Source organism: Homo sapiens, chromosome 10, assembly GCF_000001405.40.
Source record: "Homo sapiens chromosome 10, GRCh38.p14 Primary Assembly".
Lineage (NCBI taxonomy): Eukaryota > Metazoa > Chordata > Mammalia > Primates > Hominidae > Homo > Homo sapiens.
In genome coordinates, this window is record NC_000010.11 from 17,600,581 (window position 1) to 17,626,743 (window position 26,163).

Sequence of the window (26,163 nt, forward strand, 5' to 3'; positions counted from 1 at the left end):
CTCCCAAAGTGCTAGGATTACAGGCATGAGCCACCATGCCCAGCCCAGCACCCTTCTTCTACTGTACTTTGTTCATATCTGTGTTGTGGCATTTGCCAATCTGTACTAAGAGTTGTCTGGCTAACTCTTGTACATGTCAGCATTCAACATCTGTATCCCTCCTTAAGGGAAGCCTTCTTGCACTCCCTACGTCAGACTAAGTCCTTAGGTATACTGCAACGCATACCGAGCTCTTGCTTCAAAGCACTTAACACGTATATGATTAAATATTTGTTTAGCTTCTCTCCCAAGTATAGGCTCCACCAGGCGAGAACCATGTTTGTTTTATCAACAGCCATATCCCAGCACACTGCCGGGCACAGATGAGGTGCATGATTAGCATTGTGCGTGATTTAACGTTAAGTGTACCCCACTTCCCAACAGCCAGTACACTGGACAGCTGGGATTGCCTTGTTCTTTTTTTTTTTTTTTGAGACAGAATCTCGCTCTGTCACCCAGGCTGGAGTGCAGTGATGCGATCTCAGCTCACTGCAACCTCTGCCTCTTGGGTTCAAGTGATTCTTCTGCCTCAGCCTCCCGAGTAGCTGGGACTACAGGTGCGCACCACCACACCTGGCTAATTTTTGAATTTTTAGTAGAGACAGGGTTTCACCATGTTGGCCAGGCTGGTCTCGAACTCCTGACCTCAAGTGATCCACCTGCCTCAGCCTCCCAAAGTGCTGGGATTATAGGCGTGAGCCACCCCACCCGCCCACCTTATTCATTTCTGTAAATCCAGAAATTTGCACAGCACCAGGTGTAGAGAACGCATTCAATAATATTGGTTGAATTAATTAACGAGTGCTGAATAGGTACCAGTGGGAAACTATCGTCAGCAAAAAATAAATAGGAATATTAAGGCAGAGATCCTCTGGAGGATAAACGGGGCAGACGGGTCCTGTTTTATTTTTGGAACTCGCGACTCTCAAGCTTCCCTTTACCTCCATCTCTCTAGTTAATGTCTAGTTAATGTTGTCTTTCTTCTTCATTCTTCAGACTCATGGTGGTCCTAACTCAGCTATTATATTCCCTCACTGCCTGGAAGAGTCTGTCTTCTAGTCTGTTAATGCTGTCCTCCTGCTTTTAAACTAGTAGGCAAAGTTAATTAATAGTTTGCCTCTCCCATTGCATGTGCTCACTGCTATCTGCACTATCTGCATGGCAGTCGCTGTTTAGGGTGCAGGTAAATCATGCAAGTTGAGTGAAAGATACTAGTCAAGAGGGATAAAGTATAAAGAGCAGGAGGTCAGTGAGCTGTCCCCATGCAGACAGGGGGCCAGTGAAGCTAAGAGGAACAGAGAAGAGGTCAGGTGTCAGTCCCCAAGCATCTAAGAAAGGCATGTGAGAAATGGAAAGGAGGCCAGAGATCTGTCCTCGAGTAGACAGGAGGCTCTAAAGGCTGTCAAGAAGGTCAGAAGGGTTGACATAGGAAATGTTCCTGTCATGGGTTTAATTTTTTTTTTTTTTTGAGATGGAGCCTCACTCTGTCACCCAAACTGGAGTGCAGTGGTGCGATCTCAGCTCACTGCACCCTCCACCTCCCAGGTTCAAGCAATTCTCCTGCCTCAGCCTCCCGTGTAGCTGGGATGGCAGGCGCCCGCCACCACATCTGGCTGATTTTTGTATTTTTGGTAGAGATGAGGTTTCACCACGTTAGCCAGGCTGGTCGCGAACTCCTGACCCTCAGGTGGTTCACCCACCTTGGCCTCCCAAAGTGCTGGGATTACAGGCTTGTGCCACCTCGCCCGGCCCTGTCATGGGTTTAAAATGCCCAATATCTTGACATAGCAGCATGGTGTCTATCTCGCCTGAAAGGTTTGAATCATTAATTAGATTCAATAATTAGGTCTGTCTCCTGTCATGCCTCAATAAAAATTGTTTATTTTTCCTAAAGCTCCTTAGCAATTTTTTGACAATTATTTTTAATTGAAAATTTAAATTGCATATATTTATGGTGTACAACATGATGTTCTGAAATATGTACGCATTGTGAAATGGCTAAATCAAGCTAACGAACCTATGTATTACCTTATGTACTTATTTATTTGTGGTAAGATCACTATTCTCTTAGCAATTTTCAAATATACAATACATTGCTATTAACTATAGTCACTACGTTGCATAATAGATCTCTTGAACTTAATTCCTCCTAACTAAAATTTTTATCCTTTGACCCCTTCTAACTTTCAGTCTTTTCCGTTTGTTCAGATCTACAGAACTGCATTTACTTTTTATGTCTGTTGCTGTAATACTCAATGCTAAATAAGATATAATTTTTTTTTTTTTCAGACGGAGTCTCGCTCTGTCGCCCAGGCTGGAGTGCAGTGGCACAATCTCAGCTCAATGCAACCTTTGCCTCTCGGGTTCAAGCGATTCTTCTGCCTCGGCCTCCTGAGTAGCTGGGATTCCAGGTGCTCGCCCCCACGCCTGGTTAATTTTTGTATTTTTAGTAGGAACAGGGTTTCACCATGTTGGCCAGGCTGGTCTCAAACTCCTGACCTCAGGTGATCCACCCGCCTTGGCCTCCCAAAGTGCTGGGATTACAGGTGTGGGCCACTGCGGCTGGCCAGAAATAATAAATTGTATACTGACAACTTCGATTACATAATCAAAGAGGACAACTTGGATTGAAAAGAAACTTCTATAGAAAAGAACATTTTCTGCAGGTTATTTGACAGAACCTGAATACTGATTTCAAAAACTGGAAAATATCAAAGGAGAATATATTACGGATCTAAGATGCCAATATTTGGGTTTGTTTGTGTATCAAAGTCATTCTGCTAAGGCACTAAGTCAATGCACAACATCTAAAACTCAAACCCAACTCCTTTTTGTCCAACACTTCCACCTCCTGAAATATACAAATGTTAATATTTTAGATTCCTATGAATGGAAAGCTTTCCTGCAGGCTCAAGTAGACAACATGTTTGTGTCACTTACTGGTTTTATACTGTGAGTAATGAGCCACACCATAAAGATTCTTGAACTCACTTGGACCCCAGTCACAATCACAGAAGTAGGTACAATTCCTTAAAAAGAAAAACAAGTGAACTATTGCCCTAAAGGCAATTTATAATAAAAGTATAAAATTGAAGCAAAAACTCACCAATTAAACAGTGAACTATCTGTAAGCAAATAGAAAAAAATCATTACGTCAATAATAGAAAACATTAAATAAACCACTGTCAACATTGGCATTCAGCAAATCCATAGGTGGTATGTAATCAGCAAAATCATATTGATTTTGCACAACAAAAAATGTTCACATAAATATTACAGCAATAGAAAAACAGCATGATGGAAAACTTACCTCAAGCAAGGCAAATGTCTGGAAAAATTTAAGTGTCTTCTGAATACTTTTATATAAACCTCTGTGTGTTCCTTTTTCCATATAAAAACGTACCATGGCAATAGCTAGAACCAACCACCTAAAAAAAAAAAGTATTTCATAAAGTTCTTTCGAACTTAATACCACTGATTTATACATTTGTGTTTACAGCAGCGTTATTCAAAATAGTGAAAAGGTAAAAGCAACCCAGGTGTCCATAAGTGAGTGAATGGATACTTGAAATGTGGTCTATACAGGCCTGGCACGGTGGCTCATGCCTGTAATCCCCGCACTTTGGGAGGCCAAGACGGGCGGATCACGAGGTCAGGAGATCGAGACCATCCTGGCTAACACGGTGAAACCCCGTCTCTACTAAAAATACAAAAAATTAGCCGGGTGTGGTGGCGGGCGCCTGAGTCCCAGCTACTCAGGAGGCTGAGGCAGGAGAATGGTGTGAACCTGGGAGGCGGAGCTTGCAGTGAGGCAAGATCACGCCACTGCACTCTAGCCTGGGCGACAGAGCTGTCCGTCTCAAAAAAAAAAAAAAAAAAAAGAAATGTGGTCTATACAGACAATAGAATATTAGCCTTAAAAAGAAAAAGAAATTCTGACATATCATGCAACACGGATAAACCTTGAAGACCTTATGCTATGTGAAATAAGCTAGGCACAAAAGGACTAATACTGTATGATCATTTTTTTCTTTAAAAAATTTCTTTTTTTGCATTATGTGTTGCTGTCATCTTTAACAAAGAACAATTATTGGCTGATTGATTGAGACAGGGTCTCGCTCTGTCACCCTGGCTGAAGGGCAGTGGCGCAGTCTTGCCTCACTGCTGCCTTGACGTCCAGGGCTCAAGCGATCCTCCCATCTCAGCCTTCCCCATAGCTGGGTCTACAGGTGTGCGCCATCATATCCAGCTAATTTTTGTATTTTTTGTAGATATGGGTTTTCGCCATGTTGCCCAGGCTGGTCTCAAACTCCTGAACTCAAGTGATCCATCCACCTCAGCCTCCCAAAGTGCTGGGATTACATGGAGTGAGCCACCATGCCCAGCCTGTATGATTTAATTTATATGAGGTATACACAGGGTAGTCAAATTCATAGAGACAGAAAGTAGGATAGTGGTGGCTAGGGGCTGGGGACAGATGGGGCAATGAGGAGTTAGCGTTCACTGGGTGCAGAGTTTCAGTTTTGCAAGATGAAAAGTTATGGAGACAGAAGGAAGTAATGGTTACACAAAAATGTGAATGTACTTAATGCCACTGAACTTACACTTTAAAAAGTTAAGATGGGCCGGGTGCAGTGGCTCACACCTGCAATCCCAGCACTTTGGGAGGCCGAGGCAGGTGGATCACCTGAGGCCAGAGGTTTGAGACCAGTCTGGCCAACATGGTGAAACCCTGTCTCTACTAAAAATACGAAAATTAGCCAAGCATGGTGGCGCACACCTGTAGTCCCAGCTACTCCGGAGGCTGAGGCAGGAGAATTGCTCCAACCTGGGAAGTGGAGGTTGCAGTGAGCCAAGATCACGCCACTGCATTCCAGCCTGGGTGACAGAGCAAGACTCCATCTCGGGAAAAAAAAAAAAAAAGTCATCAATTAATATTTACTTAATTTTCACTAAAAACAACAACAACAACAATTGCTGAGCCACAGATAGAAGATCAGCCATGGGCCTGCTTTCAAAAAGGTTGTTTAAAAAAAAAAAAACAAAAGAAGAGGCCAGGCATAGTGGCTCACCCCTGTAATCCCAACACCTTGGAAGGTTGAGGTGGGTGGATCACCTGAGGTCCGGAGTTTGAGACCAGCCTGGCCAACATAGCAAAACCCCATCTCTATTAAAAATACAAAACTTAGCCGGGTGTGCCGGTGGGCACCTATAGTGCCAGCTACTCGGGAGGCTGAGGCAGGAGAATTGTTTGAACCCATGAGGCGGAGGTTGCAGTGAGCTGAGATGGTGCCACTGCACTCCAGCCTGGGTGACAGAGTGAGACTCTGTCTCAAAAAAAAGAAAAGAAAAGAAAAAAACAGCCTGGGCAACATGGCAAGATCCCGTCTCTACAAAAAAAAAAAATTTTAGAGGCATGGCGGCACATGCCTGTGGTTCCAGCTACTTGGAAGGCTGAGGTGGGAGGATCACTTGAGCACAGAGGCGCTGGTTGCAGTAAGCTATGTTTGTGCCACTGCAGTCCAGGCTGTGCAACAAAGACCCTGTCTCAAAAAAAACAAGAGAGAGAGAAAGAAAAAAGAAAGAAAAAAATACTATATGCCCTCGCTTTTAAACTTACGTTTGCATATAAATATAGCTTATGTTCTGTGAATAATAATCGTGCTTTAAATATAAGCTAGAGTTGTGGAGACCAGCTTTCTCATACTACTTCTTACTCTTCCTAAAGTCACCAATAAGAAGTTTATTTTTTTCCAGTTTCCCCTGCAATTCCAAAAGCACGTTTAAGTTTAAGCAACTTACCTCATCTGTAACTTTTTAAAAGCTCTAATAACTCACCCAGGGAAATGAGGAGCTACCCTAGTCTTTTAGATAGTCTCCAAAGAGTCTAGTAAGTAGATTTATGAAATATAAAATTATCATGCAGTTTTAACTTTTTTAATCAAAGAACACTCATACAGTGGACAAATGGCTTGAAAAGATTCCTGCAAAGAATCTACTAACTGAATCTGATGAAAATGCATTCTCAAGAGAATAATAAGATGGCAGAATGACACTTCTATTCTTAGAACATAATAAGGTAAAAGCAATGACTTGTTTATCAGATTGGCAAGAAGTCAAGTAAATATCTGAAAGGACCACAAGGACCTTTGAAATGCAGACATATTCATGATAATAACAATGACAATAATAAGTGTATTGTCAGAGTGCTTTCTATGTCTTAGACACTGTTTTCAATTCATAACATATTAACCTCAAATCCTCACAATAACCCTATGAGGCGAGGGTCTTCTATTATCCTATTTCACTACTGAGGAAATAGGCAGAGAGGGTCACACAGCCACCACTAAGCTCGGAGTATATGCTCTTAAGCCACTATGCTGTGTCGGTCTGGCTCTAAGTATATACTGTGCCCTGAGATACCAGTTAATGATAGCAATTCATATTTACATTATAAATATATTTTTAAAGTTATATGGAGAGTCTATGCTCAAATATTTTAATTGATAGTAGCATGCTATCCAAAAAGTTTGAAGGCCACTCTTTTAGATGAGATAATCATCTTCCAGAACATTCAGTTACTTACCCTGAGTCTTAGAGTAAGTTCATGACTGAGTCTGTAATAGAACCTCTGCAGTCTCTAGACTCCCTAGTCCTGACCCCTTTCCACTCTACCCCAGCTTCACTGTGGCTACAACTGATGGATCCATCTCATGTGAGCGCCAACACTGAACTGGACTGATCCTACAGCACTCATCGGAATCATGCTTTAGGTACCTTCCACAACTAAAGTATTATGATTTCATTATCTTCAATTCAAAGTCCCCATATTTCTTCTACTAAGAAAACAAAAAGTTTATTAAGATATTTTCATTCACATTTTCCATACACTTGTCTTTTTTAGGTGAACCCAAATCAGATGTCCACAAAAGATAAGTTTGAGAGGCAGTTATTAACCTACCAATCAAAGGAGTCATTTGGATGGCAAGTTTTCTACATTTTTAAACAGCATTGTATAAAAATCCATGCATCGTTAACATTATAACAAGTTCTACTGTTGCTCCATAGGTGGCAGTATTGTACCACCTAGCATAGTATCATGATCGTGCCACTCACTAAACTGTGGGAAATAAAAGAAATTGACAGGCTCAGGGATTTGAAAGGACCCATCGAAACATCTATTCTAACCTCTTGTCTGTTTTTCCTAAGTAAGGCCAGGAGCCAATTGAATCAGGGTTCACTTCCTAAGCCCTCCATCAGAAAGGGTGACAGTCAAAGAAAGTCTCTTTAAGGGTCCTATATTGAACTAGTTTTGAACTTCCTTCATCTATCGGTTTAGTAACTATAATAAAACAAACAGAAAATATTTCAAAAGCAACTGGAATTTCTGCAATTAGGATTTTTTTTTTTAGACAGATTCTCGCTCTGTCCCGCAGGCTGGAGTGAGTGGTGTGCCCATGGCTCATGGCAGCCTTGGGTTCCCAGGCTTCAGCAATCTTCCCACCTCAGCCTCTCGAGTAGCTGGGACCACAGGGGTGTACCACCATACCTGGCTCATTATTGTTCTTGCTGTTGTGGGGTTTTTTTTAGTAGAGATGGGGTCTCCCTATGTTGCCCAGGCTAATCTTGAACTCCTGGGCTCAAGCCATCTGCCTGCCTCAGTCTCCCAAAGTAATGGGATTACCGGTGTGAGCCACTGCGCCTGGCCAGACTCTCTCTTTTGTGATGCTAGCAGTTACTGATGATCATTGGCTAGATCCATTATTTCAACAATCATTGAAAAACAATATTCTAGCTTGCTATTTCCTTTGTATACCTCCTTTAGCCATTTGGAGGCTTGGACCGAAGATAGTCTTCAACTTTCATATACTCCACACTTTGTCTCCTTTTTTTTTGAAATGGAGTCTTGCTCTGTCACCCAGTCTGGTGTGATTTCAGCTCACTGCAACCTCAACCTCCCAGGTTCCAGTGATTCTCGTGCCTTAGCCTCCCAAGTGGCTGGGATTACAGGTACCTGCCACCATACCCAGCTAATTTTTGTATTTTTAGTAGAGATGGGGTTTCAACATGTTGGCCAGGCTGGTCTCGAACTCCTGACCTCAAGCGATCTGCCTGCCTCAGCCTCCCAAAGTACTGGGGTTACAGACGTGAGCCGCCACGTCTGGCCCATACTTTCATATATTGTTCATTGACACCTCTAAACTGCCTTTTCTAGATAAAAGTTATACTTTTGTTTAGCAGCCAATATGTGAGTGCTTCAACTGATTGTACACCAGCACTCATGCCAATAACGAGTCAAGCTGAAAGATTCATAAAAGAAAAAACAAACGCTTGAGAAACTGAATTTCACTAAGATTAAGACACCTGCTCTTTGAAAGGCACTGTTAAGAGAATAAAAAATCAAGCCCAAACTGGAAGAAAATATTTGCAAATCACATATCTGGTAAAGCACTTGTGTCCAGATTGTATAAAGAACTTTCAAAACCCTATAATAGGAAATCAAACAGCCCATTAAAGAAAAAAAATGTGCAAAAGGTTTTTTTTTTTTTTTTTGAGACAGAGTCTTGCTCTGTCACCCAGGCTGAAGTGCAGTGGCGCGATCTCGGCTCACTGCAAGCTCCACCTCCGGGTTCATACCATTCTCCTGCCTCAGCCTCCGTAGTAGCTGAGACTATAGGCGCCCGCCACCACGCCCGGCTAATTTGTTGTATTTTTAATAGAAATGGGGTTTCACCGTGTTAGCCAGAATGGTCTCGATCTCCTGACCTCATGATCCACTCGCCTCGCCCTCCTAAAGTGCTGGGATTACAAGTGTGAGCCACCGTGCCCAGCTAAAAATGGGCAAAAGATTTGAACAGATACCCAAGAAGATATATGATTGGCAAGTGAAGCACATGAAAAGATACTCAGTATCGTTAGCTACTAGGGAAAACAAAATCAAAATCCCAATGAGATAACAGAATGTACTTCTCGGAATGTCTAAAATTACAATGACTGACCACACCAAGGGTTGGCAAGGATGTGCACCAATGGGAAGTCCCATTCATTGCGAGAGGGAAGATAAAAGGGTATAACCACTTTGGAAACCAGTTTGGCGGTTTCATAAGAAATTACGCTTTGGGAGGCCAAGGCGGTTGGATCATTTGAGGTCAGGAGTTTGAGACCAGGCTGGCCAACCTGGTGAAACCCCGTCTCTACTAAAAATAGAAAAAAAATTAGCCAGGCATGGTGGTGCACGCCTGGAGTCCCAGCCACACAGGAAGCTGAGGCAGGAGAATCGTTTGAATCCGCAGGCAGAGGTTGCAGTGAGCCGAGGATGCACCACTGCACTCCAGCGTAGGTGGCACAGTGAGACTCCATCTCAAAAAAAAAAAAAAAAAAGAACGAAAGAAATTAAACACTTAACTATCCTATGACCCAGCCCCTCCACTCCTAGGTATTTACCCAAGCAAAACAAAAGCATATGTTCGTACATAGACATGTACATGCATGCTTATAGCTTGATTTGTAATAGCAAAAACTGAAGAGAGCCCAAATGTCCATCAACAAATGGATGGATGAACAATTTGTGGTAGGTCCATTTGCGGATCTGTCCTCAGCAACAAAATAGATTCTACGCAGCAATAAAAGATATGGCTCTTACTTAACATTCTGGGAAATGAACCTTGGGTTTCTTGTTCTATTAAATCATACTAAGTATACTGTGAAAATATCTTACTTTCTCTTTCTGCAAGAAGTGCAATTTTAGGCCAGGCGCAGTGGCTCACACCTGTAATCCCAGGATTTTGGGAGGCCAAGGTGGGTGGATTGCTTGGGCCCAGGAGTTCAAGACCAGCCTGGGCAACATGGCAAGACCTTGTTTCTACAAAAAATTTAAAAATTAGCCAGGTGTGGTGGCACGTGACTGTAGTCCCAGCTACTCGGGAGGCTGAGGTGGGAGGATCACTTGAGCCTGGGAGGCTGAGCAGTGAGCTGAGCTGGTGCTACTGCACTCCAGAGCCAGACTCTGTCTCAAAAAAAAAAAAAAGTACAATTTTAAATAAACCACTAGGAATAAAAATGAACATTTGTAAACATCCACTGTGCATCAGGCATCCTGCTAAGAACTTCATATCCATTATCTCTTTATTCCTTTATAATCTAGCTAAGTAGTTGTGCTGTTCCAACTTTACAGATGAGAAAACTAAGAGTCAGAGAGGTTAAGTAGCTTATCTGAGGTTACCCAGCTACAAAGGAATGAGACACAACCTTTAAACAACACCTTTGTGTATTGTGTACAGACTAAAATCCAAACATGTTAGCAAAGCATCTGAGGCCCAGTGCAATGCCCCAAGCTACCTGTCCGCCTTCATTTCCCACTCTACACTTCAGGTCCTCTTCTTTTTTTTTTTTTTTTTTTTTGAGACAGTCTCGCTCTGTTGCCCAGGCTGGAGTGCAGTGGCATGGTCTCGGATCACTGCAACCTCTGCCTCCCGGGTTCAAGAGATTCTCCTGCCTCAGTCTCCCGAGTAGCTGGGACTACAGGTGCACGCCACCACACCCAGCTAATTTTTTGTATTTTTAGTAGAGACAGGGTTTCACTGTGTTAGCCAGGATGGTCTCGATCTCCTGACCTCGTGATCCGCCTGCTTCAGCCTCAAGTGCTGGGATTACAGGCATGAGCCACCGCGCCCGGCCCAAGCCCTCTTCTTGATGCCTCAACAGATGTCTTGCAATTTCAGATCTCTGTCCTCTAACTCATGCTGTTTCCCCACTTATGCCTACTTAAGTCCTTCACCGCTCAGTTTAAATGCTGTGATCTCTCACAGAAAACTTTCTCTAATTCTCCCTACCTGTCTGTCCTCTGACACATCTGCTTAGCACTTATCTCATTATTTTATTGCAATTGTTGTTTATATATTAATGCCCCAGGTTACCCTGCTTCAAGGACAGGGCCTAAAGTATTTGAAGGACAATGCATTTATATATACGGGCACAAAAGTATTTGTCAGAAAGAAAGAGAGAGGGAGGGAGAGAAATGCTCACTTCCCTATTATGAGCAAGTGCCATAAAAATCCTTACATCTGGCCAGGTGTGGTGGCTCACGCCTATAATCCCAGCACTTTGGGAGGCCGAGGCAGGCAGATCACGAGGTTAGGAGATCGAGACCATCCTGGCTAACACGGTGAAACCCCGTCTCTACTAAAAATACAAAAAAATTAGCCAGGCGTGGTGGGGGGTGCCTGTAGTCCCAGCTACTCGGGAGGCTGAGGCAGGAGAATGGCATGAACCCGGGAGGCGGAGCTTGCAGTGAGCTGAGATCGCACCACTGCACTCCAGCCTGGGTGACAGAGCGAGACTCTGTCTTGAAAAAAAAAAAAATCCTTACATCTGCCAGGCATGGTAGCACTCACCTGTAATCCCAGCTACTCATGAGGCTAATGCAGGAAGTCACTTGAGCCCAGGAGTTTGACGCCAGCCTAGGCAACAAAGCTAAACTCCATCTCAAAAAAAAAAAAAAAAAAAAAAAAACCCTAAAAAATCCTTACATCCTTTAAAGGTGTAATTCTTCTTCCAGGAATTTATTACACTAAGCCACGAATTGAACAGAAACAAATAAAAGCAAAATGTCGTTAGGCGCATGATTTAATCCATTATTGTATAATTAATTCTATACACTCAAATGTAACTGTCAAAAAGTATAATTATGAAAAACAGATGAAAACCTGACAGACTATTAAGTGAAAATGGAAAAATATACAATACAGCAGATATTATAACAGCAATGCTGTAATACATTCACTCATTCATTCATTCAAATATTTATTGAGTACTTCTTGGAGTTTACACTCTAATGGAGATGACAGACAATAAGCATTGCGAATAAGTAAAATATATTGTACAATCATATGAAAGAAAGTGGGATGGAGAAAAATAAACAGGCAAGGGAGATAAGGAGTATGTGTTTCACTATTCAAATTAAGATGACCAGGTAAGGCCTCCTTGAGAATGAAGTTTTGAGTAAAAACTTGGAAGAGGGGGCCGGGCGCGGTGGCTCATGCCTGTAATCCCAGCACTTTGGGAGGGCGAGGCGGGCGGATCACGATGTCAGGAGATCAAGACCAACCTGGCCAACACGGTGAAATCCCGTATCTACTAAAAATCCAAAAAAAATTAGCCGGGCGTGGTGGCGGGCGCCAGTAGTCCCAGCTACTCAGGAGACTGAGGCAGGAGAATGGCGAGAATCCGGGAGGCGGAACTTGCAGTGAGCCGAGATCTCCCCACTGCACTCCAGCTGGGTGATAGAGCAAGACTCCGTCTCAAAAAAAAAAAAACAAAAACAAAAACAAAAAAACTTGGAAGAGGTCAAATATTCATATGAAAGATAAAAAGAAAATGAAAGTGTGTGATAGGCTGATAAAATAACAAGCTGTATTTTACATTTATGTAAAATTTTATAATATTTCTTAAATACTATTCCGTTGCTTTGCAATTTGGGGTGTGTGTGTGTGTGTGTGTGTGTGTGTGTGTGTGTGTGTGTGTGTGTGTTTTGTTTTTGAGATGGGGTCTCGCTTTGCTGCCCAGGCTGGTCTTAAACTACTGGACTCAAGCAATCCTCCTGCCTCAGTCTCCTGAGTAGCTGGGATTACAGGTGCATACCACTGTTCCCCACTTGTTTTGAAAATTATTACAAAAAAATTAATAAACACGCCAAAGTTCTGTTAACAGAGAAATAAGTTAAATGAACAAAAAGAGCCTCAACTAGTCTTCTGCTGTCCACCCTATAAAACGTGTAAGTTCTTGTCCCGATTTCAACACTACAACTTCTTCAACCTTATTTACCACTATTCCCCAACAGCACCCTCCAGTTCAATCAAGAGAATACATCAGGCTTGCATATCATGCCTATTTCCAGAATTTATATCACCTGAAATGTCTACTCTCTATGTATGCAAATCTTATTCCTTCTTCAAATCTCACCGCCTCTAGAAAGCATCTGAAGAGTCAGTTACAGAGATTATTCCATTTCAATATCCCTTATTTTTGTAAATATGACAAGGAAACTTCTCAGTAGAGGCAGAAGGAGACAAGTTTAGAACAAGCCCTGATTTGCCGGGGAAGGGTCAGAGGGACAGAATGGAGAAAGCATTTAATTCTGCACCAGGTAAGGCAGGAGACCCGGAAAACTTCAAAGAGGTAGATTTGATTAGAAGTCATGGGAATAACAGGAGAACATTATACAAAAGTGAAAAACCTGAGCACAGAAGCAGAGCGCTGTGAAAATACATGGTGCTTTGAGGGACGAGTGAGTCAGAGATATCAAATGCAAGTTGACTGGAAAGGGGAATCGGGAGCAGATTGCAAAAAGCCTTGAATGGCAGATAGCCTGAATCCCTTAGATCAGGGTGGAGGTGGCAGGGAGTCACTGAAGTCTTTAAACTGGAGCTATGCATTGATGTTCATTTTTGAAATATCAGTTGGCTTTCAAGACAGAGAGTCAACTGAAAAGAGAAAGGACAGACACCCAGTTAACACAAGGCAGATATTTCAAAATGTTCACTGGCTGGGCACGGTGGCTCACACCTGTAATCCCAGCACTTTGGGAAGCCATTGTGGGAGGATCACTTGAGAACATCCTGGGCAATATAGCAAAAACCTGTCTTTACAGAAATTATTATTATTATTGTTTTATTTTTTTGTGTGAGACAGAGTGCAGACTGGAGTGCAGTGGCACGATCTCTCAGCCTCCTGGGTTCAAGCGATTATCGTGCCTCAGCCTTCCAAGCAGCTGAGATTACAGGCCTGTGCCACCATGCCCGGCTAATTTTTGTATTTTTAATAGAGACGGGGTTTTGCCATGTTGGCTAGGCTGGTCTCAGGCGATCCACCCGCCTCAGCCTCCCAAAGTGCTGGGATTACAGACGTGAGCCACCGTGCTCGGCCTACTCTACAAAAAAATTTTCAAATTAGCTGAGGATGGTGGTGTGCGCCTGTAGTCCCAGCTACTCAGGAGGCTGAGGCAGGAGGATTGCTTTGAGCTTCGGGGTTGGGGCTGTAGTAAGCACCACTGCACTCCAGCCTGGAAAACAGAGCAAGGGCTTGGCTTAACAAAAGAAAAAAAAAGGAAATAACAAGGAAACGTTTATTTTATTTTATTTTATTTTATTTTTTGAGACGGAGTCTCACTCTGTCGCCCATGCTGGAGTGCAGTGGCGCGATCTCGGCTCACTGCAAGCTCCCTCTCCCGGGTTCACGCCATTCTCCTGCCTCAGCCTCCGGAGTAGCTGGGACTATAGGCGCCCGCCATGGCGCCCGGCTAATTTTTTGTATTTTTAGTAGAGACGGGGTTTCGCCGTGTTAGCCAAGATGTTCTCGATCTCCTGACCTCGTGATCCGCCCACCTCGGCCTTCCAAAGTGCTGGGATTACAGGCGTGAGCCACCGCGCCCGGCTCCGGAAACGTTTATTAACCAGACTATCACAGAGGTGAGAGAATTCTTTCAGTTCCGAATGCATTTAAAGGCAGCATCATTTCGTGATTGCTGAATTGTTGTAAATACATTAGTTTTCTCACTTTCCAAGAGTATAATTTAGGAGGAAAGAAAGATGAAGTAGCAGGACAGTGGAGTCAGAGAGTCCGGGTTGAAACCCATGTCTGACTGACACTTGCTGGCTGTGATCTTGGGCAAGTATCTGTGCCTCACTCTTCTAATCTATATAATGTAATATCATGTGCCCCTCACAGGACTTTAAAGGACTAAAAATACACCTAAAATAACCAACACAGTCCCCTGCATAGTAAGTCCTCAGTAAATAACATTTGTATGAACTGTATTTGGCATTCAATATCATATGCTAAGCACATAATAGAAACTCAATCACCATAGGTAAAGATTTATTAAATTTTTGTCAATCACATTTTTCTATAAACCCTGGAGAAAGTTTAAAATATTAAGCCGGAAGTGGTAATCCCAGCACTTTTGGAGGTTGAGGTGGGAGGATTGCTTGAGGCCGGGAGTTTGAGACCAGCCTAGCCAACACAGTGAGAGGCCATCTCTATTTTTAAAAAATTAAAATAAAATATTAGGCCCGGTGCGATGGCTCACACCTGTAATCCCAGCACATTGGGAGGCCGAAGTGGGGGAATCATTTGAGGTCAGGAGTTCGAGACCACCCTGGCCAACATGGTGATACCCTGTCTCTACCAAAAATACAAAAATTAATGGGGCGTGGTGGCCCACGCTTGTAGTCCCAGCTACTCCGGAGGCCGAGGCAGGAGAATCGCTTGAACTCCGGAGGCTGAGGTTGGCAGTGAGCGGAGATCGCGCCAATGCACTCCAGCCTGGGCGACAGAATGAGTCTCCGTCTAAAAAATAAAATAAAATACTGTCAGGGCGGGATGGCTCACGCTTGTAATCCCAGCACTTTGGGAGGCCGAGGCGGGCGGATCATGAGGTCAGGAGATGGAGACCATCCTGGCTAACATGGTGAAACCCCGTCTCTACTAAAAATACAAAAAAATTAGCCAGGCGTGGTGGCGGGCGCCTGTAGTCCCAGCTACTCGGGAGGCTGAGGCAGAAGAAAGGCATGAACCCGGGAGGCGGAGCTTGTAGTGAGCCGAGATCCCGCCACTGCACTCCAGCCAAGACCGAGCGAGACTCCGTCTCAAAATAAATAAATAAATAATAAAAAGAAAAAAAGAAAATAGTAAACTTTTCCTCGCGTTTACATAAGTTAATACTTCGAGTGATAATGGGAAAATAACTTTTTTAAAAGGCAGTGCAATTGAGAAATGGAAAAGCATTTTCCCAACAGGTTTTGAGAAGCAGTTGACACAAAAGTCACTTTGAGAGCTCTGCGAAGAGCGACAGTCATTGTGTAACCTTAACTTGCAAAGTCATACTCAAAGCCAAAAATCAAGGTCCAGCTTATCAGCCACGGAGCCTGAGGCCATAAAGATGCTGGGCAGGAGCTCCACGCTGGGATAAGTGGGGTGGTTATTTCAAAATCGTCCCAAGTGACAAGCTCTAGGACGTGCTGTGCTTTAAAAAAAAAAAAAAAAAAAAGTCGCGGTGAAATTAACAGGGGCGAAAACTCTGCCCAGCGATCGCAGCATGAAGCTCTGCGCTCCCGAGACCATCGAGTGGCCAGGGCTGGGCGCTCCTTCAACAGCAGCGAAGGCAGCGGCGCCGGGGCAGCAGCCACCTCCCCCGCGGGCCGGCACCGCATTCCTGCCCGGTTCTATACTTAACCTCCGGCCAGCGCCCCGCCGTGCACCGTATTAGGCAATGCCAGGCGCGCAGGGCCCGGCCCCCCCGCCCGCTCCATTCAACCCCGGCGGTGGCCGCGGCGACAGCTCCCTTCCCCCACGGCCGCTGCCCGCACCCCCCGCGCCCCTTACACCCCGGCCCGCGCCCCCTGAACCCGGAACCTCCGCGGACCGCGGCGCGGGGAGGGCCCGAGGGTGCCCCGCGGCGCGCGTACCCCGCGGTCATGGCGATGTCGTAGAAGGTGAGCCAGGCGGTGGCCAAGACCCCCAGGCGCCTCCGCTCGCCGGGAGCCTCCCGGTCCTCGCCGGCCTCCGAGGCGCCGCCGTTGGTGCCGTCCTCGTCGCTGGACGCCATGGTGGCCGCGCACCTGGGGGACGTGGGAGACAGCGGCAGGAGCGTGGGAGGGGACCCTGCCCAGCCTGCAGCCCGAGAGCCGCTGCCCGCTGCCGCCGCTTCCGTCAGGCGCCCCATGTGCAGCGCGCAGGGGGCTCGGCGCAGCCAGCTCTACCGACCGCGAGGGGGAGGAGCGGACGCCCCCGGCCACCGCCCGTCACGCCCCCGCCCCGCCCCGCCCCTTGGGAGCGCGCGCCACTCGGGGGCCAGAACGCCTGGCCCTGGCACTGGGGATCCAGGACCCGCGAGCCCCGGCACGCTTTCCAGGCGGCGCTGTAGTTTCCGCTCCCGAGGAAAGTGCACCCGCCTCGCTAGCTGCGGGCGCCTCTTCATAGAGAGACGCCCAGACGCCTTGCGCCCTGGCGATGCGCACCCTGCGAGTGCATTTAGTGGGGACACAGGGAACGCACCTGAACTTGGCGTGGCTCTGCCCTGCCTGGCCTTTTGTAAGGCAGTTTCTCAATACGCAGGCAGGGAGCGGGATCTTCCCGCCACTCATTCTTTTCTTTTTAGAGATGCGGTCTCAGTCTGTCTCCTAGGCTGGAGGGCAGTGACGTGAACATAGCTCACTGCAATTTCGTGAGCTCAAGCAATCTTCCCACCTCTGCCTTCCAAAGTTCTGTGATTACAAGCCTGAGCCACAGCGCTGGGCCAAACATTCATTCATTCTTAAGAGCTTCTGGGGAAGAAACGCCTATTTCGCCCTGTTTCCCGTTTACTAGCGAGTCCAACAGGTCTTCCAACAGTGAGAAGACCGTCCCACTTGAGTGATTTTTTTTTCCTTTTTCATTTCTTATTTTTTTTTTTTTTTACAGTCTGGAGTGCAGTGTTGTGATCTCGGCTCACTGCAACCTCCGCCTCCCTGATTCAAGAGATTCTCCTGCCTCAGCCTCCCGAGTAGCTGGAACTACAGTCATGCACCACCACGCCCGGCTAATTTTTGTTATTTTTAGTAGAGACGGTTTCACCACGTTTGCCAGGCTGGTCCCGAACTCCTGGCCTCAAGTGATCCACCCGCCTTGGCTTCCCAAAGTGCTGGGATTACAGGCGTGAGCCACCGCACCCGGCCTCACTTGTGTGAATTTTACCGGAGCGTGTGTGTGTGTGTGTGTGTGTGTCTGTGTGTCTGTGTGTCTGTGTGTGTGTCTATTTACCAAGTGTCAGGCCTCTGAGCCCAAGCTAAGCCATTATATCCCCTGTGACCTGCACGTATACATCCAGATGGCCTAAAGTAACTGAAGAATCACTAAAGAAGTGTGGCCGGTTCCTGCCTTAACTGATGACATTACCTTTTGAAATTCCTTGCACCTACTGAAATACAACCCCCAAATTCCTGAATCCTCCCATTTTATTAGCTGTGTGAACTTGGACAACGTAACCTATCCATGCCTCAGTTTCCTTAGTGGAAATAATTTTTAAAAATCGTGAGCAGAGATCGCCCGTTGCACTCCAGCCTGGACGACAGAGTGAGACTCTGTCTCAAAAAAATAAAAAAAAAAGGAAAGGAAGGCTGGGTGTGGTGGCTCACCCCTGTAATCCTAGCACTTTGGGAGGCCGAGGTAGGCAGATCACTTGAGGTCAGGAGTTTGAGGCCAGCCTGACTAACATGGTGAAACCCCGTCTCTACTAAAAATACAAAAATTAGCGGGGCATGGTGGCGGGCGCCTGTAATCCCAGCTACTCAGGAGTTGAGGCAGGAGAATCGCTTGAACCCAGGAGGCACAGGTTGCAGTGATTTGAGATCGCCCCATTGCACTCCAGCCTGGGTGACAGAGCGAGACTTCTTTTCGAAAAAGAATAAAAATAAAATAAAGGGAAGAAAGAAGTAAAACTGTTTGCAAATGAGAGCAATGTGTTTCCTAGAAAATCCCAGGAATCTCGAGGAATCCTAAAAAAAAAAAACCTCCTGGAACTACAAGATCAACATAACAAAAATCAATTGTTTTTCTACATGTGTACACGGAACAACTGGAAAATGAAATTTAAAATAAACCATACAACGTTAATCAGCATCCAAAAACATGAACTATATAGGCATAAATTTCACAAAATATGTGTGAGACGTATACACTGAAAATTATAAATCATTGCTCAAAACTATAAATCTCTGCTGAGAGAAATGAAAGATCTAAATAAATAGCTGTTGCCTGTTCATGAATTGGAAGACTCCATACTGTTAAATGTCAATTCTCTCCAAATCCCAGCAGATTTTTTTTTAACTTGACAAGCTAACTATAAAATTCATGCAGAGGTACATAGGAAGAAGAAAGTTGGAGCACATATACATCTGGTTTAAAGACTTACTATAAAACTAGTTTTCAACACACTGTGGTACACATAAGGTGAGACATAGAAATCAGTGAAACAGAATCAAGTCCAGGGATAGACCCATATGTATGTGGTCAATTGATTTTTATAAGAAGCTAAGGTAATTTCCATGTGGAAAATATAATCTTTTCAGTAAATGAAATGACTGGATACCCATATCAAAAAATAAATCTTACCTCACACCATAGATAAATATTAAGTTGAAATGAATGACAGACCTAATCATGAAGCTATAATTACATAATTTCTAAGAAAATACAGAACAATCTTTGTGACTTTGGGGAAGGTGAAGATTTTGGAGGTAGAAAAAAGCACTAATCATAAAAAGGAAATAAAAGACAGATTGAACTTCATCAAAATGGGAAACATCTGTGTTTTCAAGACAACATTAAAAAAGTGAAAATATTCACGACAGATGTCTCTAACAAGGAATTTGTATCTGGAACATATAATGAAAGCTTACAACTTAATAAAACAATTCAATTTTTTGAAATGAGCAAAAGATTTGAATACACACTTCACAAAGATATAGAAATGGCCAATAGCCGGCCAGGCACTGTGGCTCACGCCTGTAATCTCAGCATTTGGGGAGGCTAAGGCAGGCGGATCACCTGAGGTCAGGAGTTTGAGACCACCTTGGTCAACATGGCAAAACTCCGTCTCTACTAAAAATACAAAAATTAGCTGGGCGTAGTGGCACGCCCCTGTAATCCCAGCTACTTGGGAGTCTGAGGCAGGAGAATCACTTGAACCTGGGAGGCGGAGGTTGCAGTGAGCCGAGATGGCACCACTGCACTCCAGCCTGGGCTACAAGAGCAAAACTCCATCTCAAAAAAAAAAAGTAAAAAAGAAATGCCCAATAGCACATGCAAAAGTGCTGAATCTTATTAGTCATTTGGGAAATGCAAATTAAACCCACAATGAGATAGCACCACACAACCACTCAAGTGGCTAATATTTTAAAATGTTAGCAGGGATTGGCATTCTCATACAAGGCTAAAAAGAATACTGCTTTGGAATATAATTTGGCAATTTCTTACATCAATATACACTTACTTAGCATATGATCCAGTAATTTCACTCTTGGTATTTAACCAAGAGAAATAAAAACATATGTCTACACTAAGTCTTGAAACCAAATGTTCATAGCAGCTTTAGTAATAGTAATTCAAACTGAAAATAACTCATGTGTCCATCAATGTGTGAATGAATAAACAAATTGTAGTGTATTCATACAATGGAATATTACTCAGCAATAAAAAGGAACATACTATTGTACATGGCACATGAATGAATCTCATTAACTTTGTGCTGAGCAAAAGAAGCCAGACACAAAATATTATATAGTATATGATTACTTTTATATAAAACTCTAGAAAAGCAAAATCTAATCTAAACGGACAGAAAACAAAAAAGGTTGTTTCCTGAAGTTGGGGATTCCTGTAGGGAGACTAGACTAAGAATAAATACAGGAAAGCTTTTGTAGTAGTGTGAATGTTCACCATGTTGATTGTGGTGGTTACACAGCTCTACATATTTGTTGCAACTCATCATACCGGCCGGGTACAGTGGTTCATGCCTGTAATACCAGCACTTTGGGAGGCTGAGGTGGGCAGATCATCTGAAGTCAAGAGTTCGAGACCAGCATGGCAAACATGGTGAAACACCGTCTCTACTAAAAATACAAAAATTAGCCAGGCGTGGTGGTGCACGCCTGTAGTCCCAGCTATTCGGGAGGCTGAGGGATGAGAATCGCTTGAACCTGCAGGCAGAGGTTGCAGTGAGCCGAGATCATGCCGCTGAACTCTGGTCTGGGCAACAGAGACTCGTCTCAAAAAAAAAAAAAATCTCATCATACTGAACACATAAGATAGATTCATTTCGTTGAGTATAAATTATTAAAATTGATTTATAAATGCCATGAACACTACATATTTTAACGTGTAGAATTTATAATACTGATATGTTTAACATGAAACCCAAATGTTGTGGCAGAATGCCTTCGTATTTTGCAGTTAATAGTTTCCCTACCAAATATTCCTTTAAAGCATCGAATCTGCCACAAGATAGAACTCATTTTCACAACAGTAATGCATGTTACAAAGTTCAATGTAATAACATTTTGAAAAATAAACTTTTAAATGCCCTAAGAATAAATAATATTTCAACAGATTTATAAAATCGTCCCTATAAAATGTGAATTTACCATGTACTATGTAGAAATAGGTGATACCAAAATGAGTGAAACATGGAGCCTGTTTTCATGAAGCTAACAATTGTTATAAAATGGATAAGAATTTCATACAAATTAATATATTCTAAGATATGTTATTAACATGCCACCTCTCATGTGCCAGACACTTCAGCTGATTTAATCCACACAATCTTTTCAGGTATTACTATCCACATTTTACAAATGAGCTCATTGAAGCCTGGAGAAGTTAAGAAACTTGCCCAAGCTTCTCAGCCAATGGGCGGTGATTTTGAAGGACCACTGACTCCAAAGCCCGTGTTCTATTATGAATTGCAGAATATAATAAATTTGGAAAGAGGATTACAAAGTGCTTTGGGAGCTAAAGAGCTGTCGAAAAATGTAATTTGTTTGGAGAATCAGACAATGACTCATGCAAGAAATCACTTTTAAATGCTTAAAGAATAAGTATGATTTCAACAAATCGCAGAGGGTATTGCAGGCTGAGAGCTGATCATGAACACGGGGGCGGGAAAAACAAACAAGTTTGAGGAGAAGTGAGTCGTGCAGATTAACGAAATGTTAGAGGTATTAGAGAAGAAGGATAAAATAGATACACAGGGAGAACCACTCTATTTTAAAAGGCAGTATGAGCTTCTAAAGATTTTCAGTATGAAAACCACAGCGAAGAAACTCTGTTCTCAAAGATTAATTTGGGCCGGGCGCTGTGGGTCACCCCTATAATCTCAGCACTTTGGGAGGCTGAGGTGGGCAGATCACCTGAGGTCAGGGATTCAAGACCAGCCTGGCCAACATGGGAAACCCCGTCTTTACTAAAAATACAAAAATTAGTGAAGCGTGATGGCGTGCACCTATAATCCCAGCTACTCAGGAGGCTGAGGCGGGAGAATCGCTTGAATCTAGGAAGGAGAGGTTGCAATGAGCGGAGATGGCACCACTGCACTCCAGCCTGGGTGACAGAGTGAGACTCTGTCTCAAAAAAACAATTAATTTTGCAGCAGTGTATCAAATAAATTGGTATGAGGGGATGCAAGAAATGAGAGCTGTAGTCTAGGAGATAAGTAAGAAAGACCAGAACTGGGTGGGTGGCAATAGTCGTTGGAAAGTGGATGGTGAGGAGAACTTCAGTTTCAGCTGAAGAGCAGGATGAATAAGGAGATATCTTAAAAAAATAAAATAAAGGACCGGGCGCAGTGGCTCACGCCTGTAATCCCAGCACTTTGGGAGGCCTAGGCGGGCGGATCATGAGGTCGGGAGATCGAGACCATCCTGGCTAACACACTGAAACCCCGTCTCTACTAAAAATACAAAAAATTAGCTGGGCGTGGTGGCGGGGGCCTGTAATTCCTGCTACTCGGGAGGCTGAGGCAGGAGAATGACGTGAACCCGGAAGGCGGAGCTTGCAGTGAGCTGAGACTGGGAGACAAGCGAGACTCCGTCTCAAAAATAAATAAACAAATAAATAAAATAAAATAAAATTAGCTTTTGGGGTACAAGTGGTTTCTGGTTTCATGAATGAAGCATATAGTGGTGAAGTCTGAGATTTTAGTGCACCTGTCACCTGAGTAGTGTACGTTGTACCCAATATGTAGTTTTTTTTAATCCCTCAACGCCCTCCCCACCTCCCTGCTTCTGAGTCTCCACTGTTCACTACACCACTCTGTGTGCCTTTGCATACCTATAGCTTAGCTCCCAATGATGAGTGAGAATATATGGTATTTGGTTTTCCATTCCTGGGTTGCTTCACTTAGAATAATGGCCTCCAGCTCCATCCAAGTTGCTGCAAAAGACATGAATAAGGAGATATATTAAGATAACAAGAGAATGAAAATAAGATTTTATTCGTTGTTTTTTATTTGCCGAAGGTGTCATGAAAGAGGGAGAGATTGATTATCTATTTGGAATGGGCTATTTTATGAAGCAAGATGGCTCCGACAGTGGAATGATGAGGGATTAAGAAGATGGATGAAAAGATTAGGGTTTTGTTTTTGTTTTTGTTTTTGACACGAAGTCTCACTCGTCTCCAAGGCTGGAGTGCAGTGGCATGATCTCGGCTCACTGCAACATCTGCCTCATGGGTCCAGCGATTCTCCCGATTAGCTGGGATTCCAGGCACCCACCACCACATCCAGCTAATTTTTGTATTTTTAGTAGAGATGGGTTTTTGCCATGTTGGCCAGATTGGTCTCAAATTCCTGATCTCAGGTGATCCACCTGCCTCGCCCTCCCAAAGTGTTAGGATTACAGGCATGAGCCACCACACCTGGCTGGATTAGATTTCAAAAAGAGAAAAAAATCCTTCTTTCTCAGACAGGAATAAAGAAAATGGAGATAGAGATATTTTGAGGTAGGGAAAAGAAAGTTGAGGTAGGTAGCTCCACTGAGGGTAAGGTGTCCTGAGGGCAAATAAGGTTTGGAATGGCACCTCATATATAACTTTATTTTACTTCTCAAAACATCATATTATTTTCCCAGTCTAAGGAATAGCCCTTGCCTTTAGAACAAAGGCATTGAGAGCTCTCTTTTATAACCTAAGCCCATAGAGGCCAATGGAATATTACCTCCTAGTCCATGCCATGGAAATCCTCTGATCCAGCCAGGCAGGTCTGTTCCCTGTCCAAAAAGTGACCTAGAGAGACTTTAATCCAAATCTCCTTTCTGTTCACCCTCCCTAACCTGTTGTTTTCCCTTCCCAACTGCTCCCCAAGCTGCTGTTTTCCCTTATACAAACAAGAATGTTTTGAAAATCTCATTCATTCTTCAAAGATGTTTCAAATCCCAATTCTTTTAAGTGTCTTTCCCTGACCACTTAAATGTACATTAAATTCTCCAACAGTTTGTAGTGATAATGTGTCGTTTCTTTTGGCATTTCATTGTACATCATTTTCTGCTTTTCCAACAGTTTGTAGTGACACAAATAGTTTGTAGTGATACCAATAGTTTGTAGTGATAATGTATCGTTTCTTTTGGCATTTAATTGTATATCATTTTCTGCTTTTCCTTAATTTACACTTGTGTATGTTTTGTCTATGAAGAAGAAATGCATATGAGAGATCACAAACTATATTTTTAAAAATCCTTCTCAAAAACCCATTAGTGTTTTGCAATTTTGAACAGCTTTGTGGAGTTATAAATGACATAGAACAAACTGCATATATTTAAAGTATACCATTTAATAAGTTTTGACGAATGTGTCCTCTGTGAAACTTTCACCACAATCAAGACAGAGAACATATCCATCACCTGGAAAAGTGTCCTCCTGCCCTTTTGTAATCCCCACCTCCTCCCCTGGCAACCACTCATCTGCTTTCTATCACTGCAGAGTAGTTTGCATTTGCAAGAAGGTTGTATAAATAGAATCATACAAGACGTACTCTTTGTTGACTTTGTTTTTTTGTTCACTTGGGGTAATTACTCTGAGCTGGTCCTTGGCTGGCCCATGGGCATGTGATCTGTGTAGTCCATAGAGTCTTGCACTGACAAGGGCTCTGTGCTTGTTTGGGCTGGGCACAGTGCCTCATGACTGTAATCCCAGCACTTTGGGAGGCCAAGGCAGGAAGATCACGAGGTCAGGAAATCGAGACCATCCTGGCTAACACGATGAAATCCCGTCTCTACTAAAAATACAAAAAATTAGCCGGGTGTGGTGGCACACGCCTGTAGTCCCAGCTACATGGGAGGCTGAGGCAGGAGAATCCCTTCAACCCAGGAGGTGGAGCTTGCAGTGAGCCGAGATAGCACCACTGCACTCCAGACTGGGTGAGAGAGTGAGACTCTGTCTCAGGAAAAAAAAAAAGAGAAAGCCTCCCTGGTTTTTTGAATGCTCCACTGTCTTTGTTTTTGAAGTTCTTAATGCTTTGTGAACAAGAAGACCTACATTTTCCTTTTGCACTGGGCCCCACACATTATATTGCTGATCCTGAAATAGAGATTCATCCATATGTGTGCATAGATTAACAGTTTATTTTGTTTTATTGCTGAGCAGTTATTCCATCGTATGGATATCCTACAATTTGTTTATCCATTCATTCACCAAAAGCATTTGGGTTTTTTTCCAGTTACAAATAAAGGATCCATGAACATTTGTGTACCAGCCTATATAAAGATATGCTTTCAAGCTGGGCATAGTGGCTCATGCATATAGTCCCAGCACTTTGAGAGGCCAGGGTTAGAGGATAGCTTGAGGCCAGGAATTTGAGGCCAGGCTGGGCAACATAGCAATACCCTATCTTAAAAAAAAAAAAAAAGATACGCCTTCATTTCTTTTAGGTAAATACTGAAACACAGAACGACTGAGTAACATAGTAAGTGTATGCCTAACTTTTTAAGAAACCACACTGTTTTCTAACTTTTTTTTTTTTTGAGACGGAGTCTCGCTCTGTCATCCAGGCTGGAGTGCAGTGGTGCGATCTCTGCTCACTGCAAGCTCCGCCTTCCAGGTTCACCCATTCTTCTGCCTCAGCCTCCCGAGTAGCTGGGATTACAGGCGCCGTCAACCATGCCTGGCTAATTTTTTGTATTTTTAGTAGAGATGGTGTTTCGCCATGTTAGCCAGGATGGTCTCGATCTCCTGACCTCGTGATTCACCTGCCTCGGCCTCCCAAAGTGCTGGGATTACAGGCATGAGCCACCGCACCTGGCCTGTTTTCTAATTTTTTAAAGAGATTTACAAATTTTTTACTTTTTGCACAAAGAGTTAGCATGGTTTCTTTCATGGGATGGATGACCTGGATAATCCATTCAAGGAAGTTCCCTTAGTACAACTTAATGAAACCTATATCCTTTGCATACTGGGGAACATATTGAAGCTGTATTTTTGGATCACATCATGCTGGTTTGAGCAAGAACCCTGGCCAGTTTCACAGGTGGCTCTAGTATAGCTGCTGGAGACCCATCTTGCCCTTAAGAGTAAGAGGTGAAAGGAAACAGCTAGCACATACAT

General features: G+C 43.7%; 1 protein-coding gene across 2 annotated transcripts in view, besides 2 other annotated features; it reads right to left on the minus strand.

Moving 5' to 3' along the window:
* HACD1 (3-hydroxyacyl-CoA dehydratase 1) overlaps positions 1-16,794 on the minus strand; it is a 28,343-nt gene extending 11,549 nt beyond the window's left edge. Inside the window, exons 1-4 of one of the 2 annotated variants that reach the window (NM_014241.4) lie at positions 16,503-16,794; positions 3,350-3,467; positions 3,146-3,164; positions 2,980-3,068 (exon numbers count right to left, since the gene is read on the minus strand). In NM_014241.4, the coding sequence (NP_055056.3) occupies positions 2,980-3,068; positions 3,146-3,164; positions 3,350-3,467; positions 16,503-16,759 (483 nt within the window). In that variant the 5' untranslated portion in view covers positions 16,760-16,794. The remainder of the gene's footprint in view (positions 1-2,979; positions 3,069-3,145; positions 3,165-3,349; positions 3,468-16,502) is intronic. The other variant, XM_005252641.5, reaches the window with a different exon arrangement.
* Positions 16,335-16,994: a silencer, noted in NCBI's record as "silent region_2183". NCBI's record gives its function as "represses an Ori minimal core promoter by ATAC-STARR-seq in GM12878 lymphoblastoid cells {active_cell/tissue: GM12878}" and the evidence as "EXISTENCE:reporter gene assay evidence [ECO:0000049][PMID:35858748]".
* Positions 22,272-22,494: a silencer, noted in NCBI's record as "fragment chr10:17664851-17665073 (GRCh37/hg19 assembly coordinates)". NCBI's record gives its function as "represses an EF-1alpha promoter that drives an FKBP-Casp9 reporter gene in an ReSE screen in K562 erythroleukemia cells {active_cell/tissue: K562}" and the evidence as "EXISTENCE:reporter gene assay evidence [ECO:0000049][PMID:32094911]".